General features: G+C 42.2%; 1 protein-coding gene across 8 annotated transcripts in view; it reads right to left on the minus strand.

Annotated features, from left to right (window-relative positions):
- SIPA1L2 (signal induced proliferation associated 1 like 2) overlaps window positions 1-15,835 on the minus strand; it is a 232,532-nt gene that overhangs the window by 201,578 nt on the left and 15,119 nt on the right. For 2 of the 8 annotated variants that reach the window (XM_047426144.1, XM_047426140.1), the window contains exon 1: window positions 9,370-10,315. The exons of 4 other annotated variants lie outside the window; for them this stretch is intronic. The gene's annotated coding sequence lies outside the window, so the exon portion shown is untranslated. Of the gene's footprint in view, window positions 1-9,284; window positions 10,316-15,835 lie in introns of those variants that run through there. 2 more of the 8 variants (XM_047426142.1, XM_047426141.1) reach the window with 2 other exon arrangements.

The following is a 15,835-nucleotide window of genomic DNA, read 5'->3' on the forward strand; positions in this document are numbered from 1 at the left end:
CAGATCCTGTGTGCCCACCCTGTGTGACTCCACAGTAGGAAGCAGCTGTGATGACCTCGAAGTTCTGGTGAGTTTTGGTGAGAGCGGCTACACGGTGGGGTAGAACTACCCTCTAAGATTGGAGATGACCAATCATGCTTCCTACTCCCCTGCTGTAGCCCCGGGCAAAGCTGTGTAAGATACATTTATGCCCACAGCTTCTTAGCAAGACCTGAGCCTCACACTAAGATGACTGCAATCACATACAGCAAGGCCAGAGGACTGCTACAACACAATCTGTCTGCTCTGCAGAAGTGCATGCTCGAAAGTATTCAACAAACCATTTATTAACCACATATCTACCTAGGCATATCCTGTCCAAGAAATGCCTTCCTGAAAGTATGTTACCCAGACCTAACTGATGAAAAATTTAGCAACTAATTTACGAAGGATCAGGAAGTAAAGACTTGGGCTCTGCTTGCCCATCTGCAGGGCTCCTGCCAGAACACGGGCACTAATCCGTTGCCAGAGTTTAGTGCCTTTCTGGAGTGGCACCCTTGGTCCTGAACTGGCTCTGAAGGCAGGACCTTCGGCTTTGCTCAGTGCTTTTTGGGGATGCTTGAGAACTTTATGCTCAGTTCTGGAAGGAGCTATAAACTGATAGCAAGTTTGCTTTTTCAAATGAAGGGGCAGTGTTGGTGACACAGTTAACAAAAAAAAAAATTCTTTTTCATTTCTCTGCTGTGCTATAGTAGCAGAATTAGAAAACACATTCTGAAAACAAGAATTTAAAAATCAACTCTTTTTTTCCAGCTATCCTCCCTAATAAGTTATAGCCAAAATCAATACTCCCCTTTTATTTTTCATCAGGTATTTTTAACTTATTTTAGTTACTTCAAGCTTCCAACAGCTAGAGTACCTCATGTGGACAAAGCCTTACCCGCTGAGAAATGAAAGTTATGAGTGTGAAGGGATGAGGAAACTGGGTTACTAGGGTGACTGAGAATCAAACTGTTGTGTCTGAAACAGGCTTTTTTGTTTGATTTTGCTTTCTGCCCAAGGGTGTCTGTTTATACAACTTCTAAAAAAGATAATAACCTAAATTAAGGAGCGTGCCTGTTGGATGACATAATGTGGTTTACTGTGATCTAGCTGGGGAACAATGGTCACCATGCACCTTACTTCTGAAGTGGGTAGGACGCTCAGCCGGAGTGTGCTCCACCCCCTGCCCCTCAGCACTCAGTTCCAGAGCAGAAGGTGGCAGTTGCTCCAGGAAAACTCATGGAAGCCACTCATATGGAAGCCTCAGGGCACATAGGTGACAGCCAGGCAGCCTACACAGCAATGTCACCCCTGTCCTACAAAATGGGTTGTAGAATAACTGATAAAATCATGCAAGCTGCTATAAACAGTTACTGTGTCACGACAAAAATACTTTCACTCTTCCCAAAGGTAGAATGACAGTCCCTGTTTCCTGTGGCCAGTGGTGTCTCAAGTAAACCTATAGGCAAGAGCAGGCACCAACAACAGCCCCGATGGTATCCCCTAGAGGAGAGCAAGGGACCAGCCAGGGAGGATATGCCAAGTTAGACTAGTGAGGTGGCCTATTCACTCAGCCCCCAGGCTGGGCCCTGGGACACAGGCAAGATGAAGACTGCCTCATCCTACAGTTGCAGTAGTCCAACAGAGACATTCAACTTTAGGGACTCAAAAAGCCTATGTGCCCAGTTCAAGGAGAGCTAATAGCTAACACCTATGTTGCCCAGGCTAGTCTCAATCTCCTGGGCCCAAGCAATCCTCCTACAGAATCAATTTTGAGACCCTCACCTTCCCTATGTAACTCTTTCTGAAAACAGACGGGCATTCCTGTCTTTGCAACAGCTCCACTCTCCCTGAAATCTTACTATGGGGCATTCTTCCAAAGTTTAAAACACCTCAGGGCACCAAACAAAGGATAACTCAAAACACTGATCATCAAGATGTCTTCTTTGATGATTAATTATAGCCCATGGTCCCTTGAATCCATATGGCTTCCAGTTTTTATGTGTCTTCAACACATTTCTGTTATGGGTGAAATTTGGCCCATTTGGGGATGTTCTGGATTCAGAAAAACTGAAGACATACAGGTTTAATGGCATAGATGCTCTTAAATGTTTCTGAAATTCCACACCCCCAACACACCAAACGCCAAAATGTTCAAGCCAAGTTACAGAAATGTCAAAGGTAACAATTTTACTTGTATTCTTTACAGTACATTTTTCAACCAGGTAGATAAAATCAATTATCTCAAATTCTATTGTAAAAGGTATATCAAACTAAGTCAATCTTCATATTATTTTCATCTCATAATATGTTTAACAATTCCTACTTGCTATTAACAAAAACATACTATTATTTATGATTTAAAATATGGGATGTCACCTTACAAGCATGTGAAGGAGTATATGTTTTTTAAAAATTATTTCAGAGGGTGCAAAGACAAAAACCTTTGAAGACCATGCCCTTGAGAAAAGCCCTCGCATGGAGAAGGTGGCCTAGTAAACAAATGCTACAAGGCAAGGAGGGGAAGTCACTACCAGAGAGAAAGTGCAGGCAAGACTGAAGACAAGGAGGTGGGCATTCCAAGCAACAAGAAGAGCTTGTGCACAGGCAGAGAAGCAGCAAAGCCAACCTGGATGAGAGGTGAGGGGCAGGAGCCTCTGAGTCTAGAGACCAAGGAGAGTGGTGTGGGAGGAGAGGGGAGGCTCTGAGGACCTACAGTCCATGCTGAGGGGTGCAGATTTTACTCAAGCACCCTCAGAAGGTTTTTTGTTTTGTTTTGTTTATTTAAGATGGAGTCTCACTCTGTTGCCCAAGCTGGAGTGCAGTAGTGCGATCCTGGCTCACTGCAACCTCTGCCTCCCAGGTTCAAGCTATTCTCTGCCTCAGCCTCCAGAGTAGCTGGGATTACAGGTGCACGCCACCATGCCCAGCAGATTTTTGTATTATTAGTAGAGATGGGGTTTCACCATCTTGGCCAGGCTGGTCTTGAACTCCTGACCTCGTGATCCACCCACCTCGGCCTCCCAAAGTGCTGGGACTACGGGCGTGAGCCACTGCCTCTGGCCACCCTCAGAAGGTTATTTAAGCAGGGAAGGCTCATAACTAGATGACTGTTTCCACGCAGAAAATGCTGGCAGCAATATGAAGGATGAAATGGGCAGAGTAGACAACTGGAGACGGAGAGATGAGCTAGACAGCGGTATCTACAGAAACTTCTGCAGTGATGAAAATGTTACTCCTGCAATGCCCAGTATGGCAGCTACATGGGGCCGTTGAGCACCTGAAAGGTAGCTAGTGAGAATGAGGAACTGAATTTTTATTTTTATTTAATTTTAGTTAACCTAAATTTAAATGGCCTCATGCAGTTGGTGGCTACCATATTGAACACACCAGCTAGAAAGCTATTTCAAAATTCAATGAAGGATGACATGTCCTAAGTAAGGCAGGAGCAGGGGGGATAAAAAAGACAGATTCGAAGGCATTTCTGATGCAGAATTAGCGGATGCTGGTGACCAACCAGACACGTGGTATAAGGATTGAGTTAGGGAGGACAACAAGCTTCGTCTAACTGGGCGTCCTATGTTGACAGTGACAGCACATACTAAGACAAAGAACAGAGTGCAACAGAGATCTGGGGGGAAGACAACAGATCCGGAAAGGATTTATTTACTGTGAAATGTATTGAGAAGATCCAAGGAAGACGACTAGGGACAGCTGGAGAAAGGCCAGACAGGTAAAGATCTGGAGGTCTCCTTCCAGAGGCTGTGAAAGATGCCACTTAGGGAGGTGTGATCGATCATGCAAAGTGACAATAAGATCATGAGACCCCAGTGTTTAAAAGGCATTGAGAGGTGGAGAGGCCAGCAAGGGTAGAAGAAAAACGACCAGGGGAGGGAGGAGAACGAGGCGCAGAGGTAAACGTTTGAACAGCAGGGTGTCACTCAGGGTCAAGAGGAGCGGAAAGCAACAGAGGATGCGGCCTGAGGACAAGCCGTAGGATTGGCAATACCAGGACCCACAGAGCCGGGAGGGAAGGCCAGATGACGAAAGCCATGGGTGGAAGACAAGACTGGGGCAGCACCAGCAGGGTTCAGAGGTGTGGGAGAGCTGGGGGATGGTTAGGATCACAGCAGCGAGGTCATGGAAACCCACCTCTCCTTCCAGGCCCTGCCATCCACTGATGCAGGTGACCATTAGATCCACATGGGGCACTCAGGCCCTGCTCTAACACCAGCCACATCATTATACCCCAAGTCTTTACTGAGACCATTTCTTCTAGGCCCCAATAGAAACTATCAGAAAAGTTCAAGTTACCTATTTTTGACGACTAAGTAAAAGGGTACCCAGCAGAAAGAGACCTTCTGAAATACAGAAGTGAAGCGAGCAGGGAATTTCACAGAAGTGGACATCATATTTACTAAATCCACAATCAGACTATGCTTTTTAAGACCTGCTGAATGGCATTTTTCAAACAAATCAACCTGATTCCACCACAGGGATTAATTACATCAAGCAGAAGGATACAACGCATCCACAGACTCTTGCTTATCAGTTTAAGAATCTTCAAAAGATTCCAGCACGTGGTAAAGCATAAGGGAACTTCCCCTGTGAGAATCTACACCAACTCCCTTCAAATCAACTTTGTTTTGACTCACTATCACTAATGAGAAGAATATTCATCATTGAATACAATTTTTGTATTTTGACTTTAAAAACCTCTTCGTTCACTAAAATTCACTCCACTTTTATAGTCTGTTGTATTCATTTCCTTTCCAGCCGCCTCCTCTCACTCTGCTCCAGTGTAGGCAGACAAGTTATTTAACACATACCAGATGTTCAATAACGCAGAAAAGTAACTATAGTTTACTGTGCACCTACTATGTGCCAGGCACTTGACAAAGCACTTTCACAAGCATTATCAGAATCTCACAACAATCTTTCACAATAGATACTCTAATCCCCATTTCAAGATGTGAGAATCAAGGCTCAACTTGCCCAAGGTGGTGTATCTGTTTGGGTTTTGTTTTGGTTTGGTTTGGTTTTTTTGAGACAGAGTGATGTGGCTTGGATCTGTGTCCCCACCCAAATCTCATGTTGAATTGTAATCACCAATGTTGGAGGTGAGGCCTGGTGGGAGAGACTGGATCATGGGGGTAGTTTCTAATGGTTTAGCACCAGCCTCCTAGTACTATCTCATGATGGAGTTCTCAGGAGATGTTTGTTTAAATGTGTGTGGCACATAACCCCTCTCCTCTCTTCCTCCTGTGTGGGCCATATAAGACCTGTCTGTTTCCACTTCATCTTCCGCCATGATTATAAGTTTCCTGAGGCCTCCCCAGAAGCCAAGGAGATGGCCAGCATCATGCTTCCCGTGCAGCCTGCAGAACCGTGAGCCAATTAAACCTCTTTTCCTTATAAATTACCCAGTCTCAGGTATTTCTTTATAGCAATGCAAGAACTGACTTAATATACAGGGTCTTGCTCTGTCTCCCTGGCTGGAGTGCAGTGGCTCAATCATGGCTCACTGCAGTCTTGACCTCCTGGGCTCAAGTGATTCTCCCACCTCAGTCTCCTGAGTAGCTAGGACTATAGGCATACATCACCACACCCAGCTAATTTTTGTATCTTTTTGTACAGACGGGGTTTCTCCATGTTGCCCAGTCTGGTGTCAAACTCCTGGGCTCAAATGATCCACCTTCCTTGGCCTCCCAAAGTGCCAGGAGTATTACATGTGTGAGCCACTGTGCCCAGCCACCCAAGGTAGTACAGACTTCAGGTTCAAACCATGGAATATCACAGTGAACAAACCATGGTAGGTGTTCAAAAGACACTGAATAGAAGTTACTCCCAGCTGGGTGTGGTGGCTCACGCCTGTAATTCCAGAACTTTGGGAGGCCGAAACGGATGGATCACCTGCGGTCAGGAATTCAACACAAGCCTGGCCAACACGGTGAAACTCTGTCTCTACTAAAAATACAAAATTAGCCGGGCATGGTGGCGGGTGCCTGTAATCCCAGCTACTTGGGAGGTTGAGGCAGGAGAATCGCTTGAACCTGGGAGGCGGAGGTTGCAGTGAGCCAAGATCGCGCCACTGCACTCCAGCCTGGGCGACAGAGCGAGATTCTGTCTTAAAAACAAAACAAAACAAAACAAAACAAAAAACAAAAAAATAAGGTACTCCAAGCCTCACATTCATTCCACTAAAATTATACTGGCTTGTGAAATACAATTTTTACATTAAGATAAAAATAAAAAATACAGGATTTCTGATTCTCCAACAATATGATAGGACTTCTTACACACATCACACATACGTGCACTGCCTGTGCCACAGTCAGACACAGTTGCTGCTTTCTGATCCATCAGACAATGCTGTAGCACACACAGCACATTCTAACCACATATTCATATCAGTGTCTCAGACACATGATGCTACTGAGTTCAAGAAATTTCAAGTACATTAACAACAAATATATATTATAGGCATCTTTTGTAACAGCAAGAGAAAGGACCTCATAATCTATTAATACTTTTCATCTACTATCATTACAATTTGATAGATACTAAAAATTGACTTCAGAGTTGCTATTCAAACATAATTCTTAAAACATGCTTTCATAAGTCATGTAGACTAATTCACAAAGAGACAATTAGCCTTTGACACTGCACTTAATTTAATAAGCCATTTCAGAATTTTAATAGAAGCATTAACAGGCGTGAAAGAGGAATGAACTTTTTTTTGAGACCTCATAACTTACAAATTAGCTAATTTTTATTTTTAACATAAATGTCAAAAAGCATAGTACCAAAGGGCCGGCAATTATACTGCTAAAAAGACATAGAAGTTATCTGGGTCAAGGTATCTCTGCTTTCAGAAATAAGCCGAGAGCTTTAACGGTATTTTTAAAGTAAATGCCAAAATCTCTAACTTAATGTTTAGTAGCAATGCGGAAAAATATTCTCATTGTCAAGGAGAGGTACTTGTGATAATTAAATAAAATAATGTAGGTATATAAAGCAAGTCATTCTGGGCCTTACCAATGAATTATATTATTCATTTATTATATATACTATATAATTTATAATATATTATTAATACTAAAAAAGATCCTGAAACTAATTTCAATGCCTTTAAATTATACATATATATGTATTTCTTCCTATGTAATAAGTTTAAATGAAAGAAAGTTGTCAGAAGGTTAAAAAATATAATGCTTAAACTGACATATAAGACCAGCAAATAATTTTCAAAGCATACGTGAAACTAAACTTAGATGTTAGGGGCTTTTACAATAAAGAACATGTACCAAAAACATATCTATTACATCTATATCTAATAAACATTTGCTAATTACTTGTCTTGAAAATTTCTGTTAAGTAGAGTCTAGTAAATATTTGCTAATTACTTGCCTTGAAAACTTCTGTTAAATACAATTAAAAGAAAATAAATCCAAACTATATTGAATCAGGAAACTGTTTTGAGACAGACTAATTATTTTTTAAAGATTACATATAATTCAGTCATTCAAATATTTTAACAGCATGTTTTTTCCTATTATAAAATTAATATGTTCATTTTAGAAAAGCTGGAAAACAAATGCAAAAAGAAAATGATAATTACACATAACACAACCACAAGTAATAACCATTGTAAATTTTTTAATGTATCCCTGTTCCATTAATGCATATGCATATTTAATATACTGCTTACCAAGAAAATGTTTTCATTTAATATTATGTGAACATTTTCCCATGTCATTAAATAGCCTTATAAAACAAGATATTTAATTGATTTAAATTACTTGATCATATGCAGTATCATAATTGAATATCTTACTATCAAATTTTTTCCAATTTTTAATGTAATAACAAATATTACATTGGGTATCCTTATACATAAATCTTTTAGACCACTTGTGATTATTTCGTGGGGTAAATTGCCCATCCCAAATCCCCATAAAATTAACTTTCTATGTTATGAAAAGTTGCACAGAGCTTAACCAAGAAGACAAGGAACGCCATGCTTGGAGCACTCAGCATTAACGAAAACTGTCCCCACTTCTCCTCGTATTTATTAATCTTTCCGCCAGTGCCATGGAAGAGAAGGGCTGCTTTGTTCAAAGTCTTCAGGCACACAGGTAGGGTTACATGGTGATGTTCCCATCTGCACTTATTTCCCATATTTCACCTCTTTTTTAAAAAAAAAAAAACGCCGGGCACAGTATCTCATGCCTGTAATCCCAGCACTTTGGGAGGCAGAGGCAGGCGGATCACCTTAGGTCAGGAGTTTGAAACCAGCCTGACCAACACGGAGAAACCCTGTTTCTACTAAAAATACAAAATTAGCTGGGCGGGGTAGCGCATGCCTGTAATCCCAGCTACTCGGGAGGCTGAGGCAGGAAAATCACTCGAACTGGGGAGGCGGAGGTTGCGGTGAGCCGAGATCGCACTCCAGCCTGGGCAACAAGAGCGAAACTCCATCTCAAAAAAAAAAAAAAAAAAAAAACGAGTCTTACTCTGTCACCCAGGTTGGAGTGCAGTGGCGCAATCTCAGCTCACCACAACTTCCACCTCCAGACTTAAGCGACTCTCATGCCTCAGCCTCCTGAGTAGCTGGAAATACAGGCATACATCACCACACCCCACTAATTTTTTTGTATTTTTAGTAGAGACAGGGTTTCACCATGGTGGTCAGGCTGGTCTCGAACTCCTGACTTCAAGTGATCTGCCCGCCTCAACCTCCCAAAGTACTGGGATCACAGGCATGAGCCACTGCACCCAACCCCATATTTCACCTCTTGAGAGGAATGGGCAGATAATCTTTTAGGGATAGCTTCTCACAAGGGTTCAAATATCCAGTGAGGGACTGCTGCAGAGGAAAGACCACCTGCAAATGCAGTAACAACTCTCAAATAATAGAAAACAAATTAATGGGTTGGAATCAAGAGGTTGGTGCCCTCTTTTCAATGCTGTCTCTTCCTCTACCCTCTGAGTACAAGCTCAGACATTAACATGGTCCTCCTCTCTCATTAAAATAAAAAATTATTTTAGCATTTTGGTGTTGCCAAGTTACTCGAGTTACTAAAGATGTTTCTCTGCGTGCTGCACACCCATATCTCTGCATATATTACAAACACGAGGAGATCCATGCACAGTAGAAGACTGATAAGCACTCCAACTAAGGTAGAGGCACATGGGCGAGAAATACACCACAGAGGAAACCACATACAGTGGCCAAGCAAGTGCCAGGCAGGTTCACCTACCTGGGACTGTAAGATTCCATTACTCCATCTTCAACTCACAGCCCCAAAATAAATCTTCCAAAGGGTTCACAATCTAGCTACTTACTCACAATAGGCCGGTCTTCTTAAAGTCAAACACGTATCTAATATTAACCGACATCCCCTCCTTTAGAAAAGAATTAGCTGTGAAAAAAGAAAAAAAAAAAGTAACCTCTTTTCTAATAGTTTGTTTTCCACAATTTAATTTTGTCTCTCTAAAAGGTAATTTGGGATAATCACCCACATCGAACTAGCCATAAACCAGTTTGGATGTTGTTGAACTTGTATGGTGAGTCACATGACTAATTAAGATCATTAGGATGGTGTTAAAACAGTGATGTTTTATAGTTAGTTGTCAACTTTAATACAAAAGTATACAAAATCCAGAATCCGTTTTGTTCATCAAATTAACTATTACTTAATAAAATAAACGGTTGGACCTAATCACCAATGACAGATCAAAGATAAATTTTGAAATTTATCATTTGCTTACTTTCTGGGTAAAAGTTTAAAATGAATATGCTGAAATTGCTTCACAATTTCTTCTTCCATTTCCATCAACATACTTCTCTGTGAAAGGGTGTCTCTATTATGCATATTATTAAAACAAAACAGAGAAACCATTGAGATACACATTATCCCCTAAAATAGTGTTATCAATCCAAACCTGAGTAGATAAATTATCAAGCAAGAACGAAGCAAGCGGCTGGGCATAGTGGCTCACACCTGTAATCTCAGCATTTTGGGAGGCCGAGCTGGGCAGATCACAGGGTCAGGAGTTTGAGACCAGCCTGGCCAACATAGTGAAACCCTGTCTCTACTAAAAATACAAAAAATTAGCTGGGTGTGGTGGTGGGTGCCTGTAATCCCAGCTACCTGGGAGGCTGAGGCAGGAGAATCACTTGTACCTGGGAGGCGGAGCTTGCAGTGAGCCAAGATCGCACCACTGCACTCCAGCCCAGGCGACAGTGCGAGACTCCATCTCAAAAAAAAAAAAAAAAGAAAAAGAAAAAAGAAAAAAAAGGAAGCAAACTCAGTTATCAAATTAAAATCTTAAAATAATGATATGCATGATGTCTGTTCAAAATCTGTTATTAGCATTTAAAATGGAGACCCGATCTCTCACTTGTAACTTTAGTTATAATTGCAGAACAAAGTTATGAGAGTAACTGTGACTCACTTTATTCATCTCTGATATGCACATTTTCATGGAACAAATGTAATTCTTTAACAATGTTTTTCTTTTTTCCTATGTTTATTGTGATTATATTTAAAGAAATGGAAGTTTACGTCTGTTAAATCTAACAATAAAAATTGAGGTTTTAAAATGTTGTACTGTATATCTCTTCATGTTTTTTTAATAATGAATATTATTTATATTCTCAGAAGTACCAATCTGTGAGGGATTGGAAATTAAGGACACTTGAGTTCCTTCAGTTCTCTGCCACAGAGAAGGGCTGTGCTAGGTGATGTGGATGGGAACAAGTCACTGGTTGAGACCTGGACTCACTTGGAGAAACTGCCTCTGCTGATGGAAGGCCATGGTGAGGGCCCCACCAGCACTGGGCTGGACGCCAGGTTTCCAGGGCTAAAGCAAGACACAAAAACTCGGTGCTATGGAAGATGTAAAGAGGGAAATGTGCCTTACTTATTTATGTAGTGTCTAAAAATAAAATACATACAAAATTCTAAGAGATCTTGATAAACAGCAAAATATTTGTATGTTCGTCAGTTTGTCTCCAAGTCTTAAAAACTAGTAATCAGGCAAACAAGCAACCCCCTCCACATACACACATCAGCAATGACGAACTCAGGCACCTGGGCCTGACACTAGGCCGCCAGAAGAGCTCAGAGTTCAGCCTTTCTCAGTGTGGAGTGGCACCGTGTCATCTGTTCCCAAGTTGGAACTCATCAGAGGCCAGCACAGGCCTGACAGCAAGTGAAGGAGAATAAGGGTAATTAAATGGGGAGGAACACCTTAGTTCAGGTAGGGCTTTAACTCACATTTCTAAAATGAGCTTAAAAAAAGTAAAATAAAAACTCTATTTATACTAACAATAGGCCTGAAACCCAGAGGGCTACCAACGCTCTCTGACTGATATGGTTTGGCTCTGTGTCTCCATCCAAATCTCCTCTTGAATTGTACTCCCATAATTCCCAGGTGTTGTGGGAGGGACCCAGTGGGAGATAGTTTGAATCATGGGGCGGCTTCCCCCATCCTGTTCTTGTGGTAGTGAGTAAGTCTCACAAGATCTGATGGTTTTATCAGGGGTTCCGCTTTTGCATCTTCCTCATTTTCTCCTGCCTCTGCCATGTAAGAACTGCCTTTTGCCTCCCGCCATGATTCTGAGGCCTCCCCAGCCATGTGGAACTCCAGTTAAACCATTTTTTCTTCCCAGTCTCAAATATATCTTTATCAGCAGCGTGAAAATGGATTAATACAGTAAATTGGTACCAGTAGAGTGGGGCGTTGCTGAAAAGACACCTGAAAATGTGGGAGCGACTTTGCTGACTGTTACTTTAGTAGGTAACAGGCAGAAGTTGGAACAGTTTGGAGGGCTCAGAAGAGAGAAAAATGTGGGAAAGTTTGGAACTTGCCTGAGACTCGTTGAATGGCTTTGACCAAAAGCCTGATAGTGATATGAACAATAAGGTCCAGGCTGAAGCGATCTCAAAGGAAGATGAGGAACTTGGGAACTGGAGCAAAGGTGACTCCTGTTATGTTTCAGCAAAGAGACTAGTGGCATTTTACCCTTGCCCTAGAGATTTGTGGAACTTTGAACTTCAGACAGAGAATTTAGGGTATCCGGCAGAAGAAATTTCTAAGCAGCAAAGCATTCAAGAGGTGACTTAGGTGCTGTTAACGGCATTCAGTTTTATAAGGAAAGCAGATCATAAAAGTTCAAAAAATTTGCAGCCGGACAATGTGACAGAAAAGAAATCCTATTTTCTGAGGAGAAATCCAAGCCACCTGAAGAAATGTGCATAAATAATGAGGAGCCAACTGTTATCCCCAAGACAATGGGGAAAATGTCTCCAGGGCATATCAGAGGCCTTCCCAGCAGCCCCTCCCATCACAGGCCCAGAAACCTAGGAGAAAATGGTTTCATGGGCCAGGCCCAGGGTTCCTGTGCCGTGTGCAGCTTACAGACTTGGTGCCCTGTGTCCCTGTCACTCCAGCCGTGACTGAAAGGGGTCAGCGTTGAGCTGGGGCCCTGGCTTCGGAGGGGACAAGCCTCAAGCCTTGGCAGCTTCCACATGGTGTCGAGCTCACGAGTGCACAGAAGTCAAGAACTGAGGTTTGGGAACCTCAGCCTAGATTTCGCAGGATGTATGCAAATACCTGGATAACCAGGCAGAAGTTTGCTGTAGGGGCAGGCACTCATGGAGAAACTCTGCTAGGGCAGTGTAAAAGGGAAATGTGTGGTGGAGTCCCCACACAGAGTCCCTACTGGGGCACTGCCTAGTGGAGCTGTGAGAAGAGGGCCACTGTCCTCCAGACCCCAGAATGGTAGATCCACCAACAGCTTGCACCGTTCGCCTGGAAAAGCTGCAGACACTCAATGCCAGCCCATGAAAGCAGCTGGGAGGGAGGCTGTACCCTGCAAAGCCACAGAGGTGGAGCTGCCCAAGACCATGGGAACCCACCTCTTGCATCAGCATGACCTGGATGTGAGACCTGGAGTCAAAGGAGATCATTTTGGAGTTTTAACATTTGACTGCCCCGCTGAATTTCAGACTTGCATGGGCCCTGTAACCCCTTTGTTTTGGTCAGTTTCTCCCATTTGGAAGAGCTGTATTTACTCATACCTATATCCCCATTGTATCTAAGAAGTAATTGGCTTGCTTTTGATTTCACAGGCTCATAGGTGGAAGGAACTTGTATTGTCTCAGATGAGACTTTGGACTGTTAACTTTTGGGTTACTGCTGAAATGAGTAGACATTGGGGGACTGTTGGGAAGGCATGATTGGTTTTGAAACGTCAGGACATGAGATTTGGAGAGGCCAGAGGTGCAATGATATGGTTTAGTTCTGTGTCCTCACCCAAATCTTATCTTGAATTGTACTCCCATAATTCCTACACGTTGTGGGAGGGAGGGACCTGGTGGAAGATAGTTTGAATCATGGGGGCAGTTTCCCCCATACTGTTCTCGTGGTACTGAATAAGTCTCACGAGATCTGATGGTTTTCATCAAGTGTTTCCGCTTTTACATCTTCCTCATTTTCCCTTGCTGCTGCCATGTAAGAAATGCCTTTCACCTCCTGCCATGATTCTGAGGCCTCCGCAGCCATGTGAAACTGTAAGTCCAATTAAACCTCTTTTTCTTGCCAGTCTCGGGTATGTCTTTTATCAGCAGCACGAAAACAGACTAATACACTGACCTTCAGCTTATTCGTCACCTCTTCATTTTGAGTAGGTGGAAAAGTGAGCAGTACTTTTTCAATGGACTTCACAATGTCTCTACCCAGAAAGATGTAACTTAAAATATTAGTGTTTTCACAAGACCCTTTATACTGACTTTTTAGAAGGCATCCTGGTGGTAAAGCTGTACAAAGGCCCAGGCAAGAAGGAAAACACAAAGTTACAGGTGGTCTTTAGCAAACCACCCACTTTTATTATGGAGTCAAGGGAACCTTCTCCAGGTGTTAACAGCATTCTATACATTCTCTGAAGGTATCCAACACGGAACTGTCTTCCAGCAATTCTGGAAGTTACTAGGAATCTAAACACTTAGAAGAATAGAGCAAGGATTAAAAGCTGTGAACAAAATACAGATACCACCATAAAGACAAGATTAGAAGGATCCAGTTTTTAGAAGCTTCCAATTAAGTTAAAATTCAAGAACAAAATTTATGTGTGTGCGTGTGTGTGTATAATGCCAAAAATGTTGTAATGTAGGTCAAATTAGTTCATCTCAATTTAGGGAGCACAGAATATGACCTTTCAGGTGCTATGTGCTTTCTAACCCACAGAACACACCCAGTATCTGAGCAACAGGAAGCTAGGATGGGTTTGAACACAAAAATGTAAGAATCGCCCACAGGATTTGAAGCAGAGTCCAGCAAGTCTTTATTCCGAGTCCAACAATAACAGAACACTTAGCAGGAGGGCATTGTGCAGAAACCACTTATCTGAGGATTATTAGTATATTTGCAATTTCTTTGGCATCTCCTCCCACTCTTCCCACAAAGACATGAACTCTGAGAAACCTTCACCCTCCTGTAGAAGGCTTCCCTTTTTCCTCCAAAATCCCCAACCAACAGACTACACTAACTTACTGTCATGAAAAGCATAGGCTCACACTCCACACAGGGATTGCCAGATACTTCGTGTAACAGCGTAAGAAGAGAAAGATAAAGGGTTTTGGCTGATGGAATAACTCATTATTCCATCAGCCAAGGCCTGTGTAAATGTTTACCCATTAATGGAAAGTCAAAGCACACACATCTTAGAGGCATGTTAATGTAGGATTTCATCAGGCACCATAAATCAGCAGGCCAGTTTTCCTCACACACAAGTTTCGTACTTCAGTTCAGATAGAGTAGAAACACCATCCTCAGAATTTATATACATTTGATCTAACTGATTAAGTTCCACACTGCTCTTTTGTTCACTATAAACAAAAAGATGTAAAAAGAATTCCCAAACTGCCACAGCATGAATTGAAAACATACCATCTGCAGCTGCTTAGCCGCAGCTACTGCCCCCAAATCAAATGAAAGGCTCAAGAAATGCTCAGCTGTGTTCTTATTGCTCGGGAGGTTCCCGGAATCCTTCCATGATTAAGTTATTGGCAAAAATTAGCAATATATGCATAGCCCATCTATAATACACCTCGAGCAGACAGCAGCATTCAAAAGGAAAGGAATGCAACTTTCGAATTATCAAAATGCCATGATGCTCCTGTTAAAAACCATTTAGCCTTTCCATCTTACAAAAATTTGAAATGTCATTTATTTTAACCAAGAGTTTTCTGCCTCTTTTTCTAATTTGATAGTGGAAAGTGACAAATGCATCCTTATCACTAAGTTTTCATTCTTTTGCATGTCTTCATTCAAGAACATGAACACTCCAATCTCTAGGAGAAAATTCCAGTCCAAAGCTGGATATAATCCCTTAACTTAGAGCAAACAAGTGTAAGCCTCTACTCTCAAAACATTCTGAGAGGAATAAGCTCATGTTCATAGTACACTGTGGATGTTATGAGGTGACCCTCTGGAAAGAATATTTATGTCTGGTATCATCAGAATTACTGCTACACATCCTTGGAAACCACAAGATAACTCTAGAGACACAAAACTCAAGAGCCCAAGAATGGTGGCCACACTCCATCTCCTGCCCCTGACACCATGGTGCACTGACCACAGCACTTGCTGCCCTTGAGCTTGGACACAGGCTCGGAATCTACTCCACACGGTCTCCAAAGTGGCCACTAAAATCGATCAGAATCGTCACTTCAAGAGTTTTTCAAGGTGCTAGCCAGCAGTCTGCTGAAGGTCCTTTCAGGCTAAAGCAGCACAACGTGAGCTC

Source organism: Homo sapiens, chromosome 1 (genome assembly GCF_000001405.40).
Source record: "Homo sapiens chromosome 1, GRCh38.p14 Primary Assembly".
NCBI lineage: Eukaryota > Metazoa > Chordata > Mammalia > Primates > Hominidae > Homo > Homo sapiens.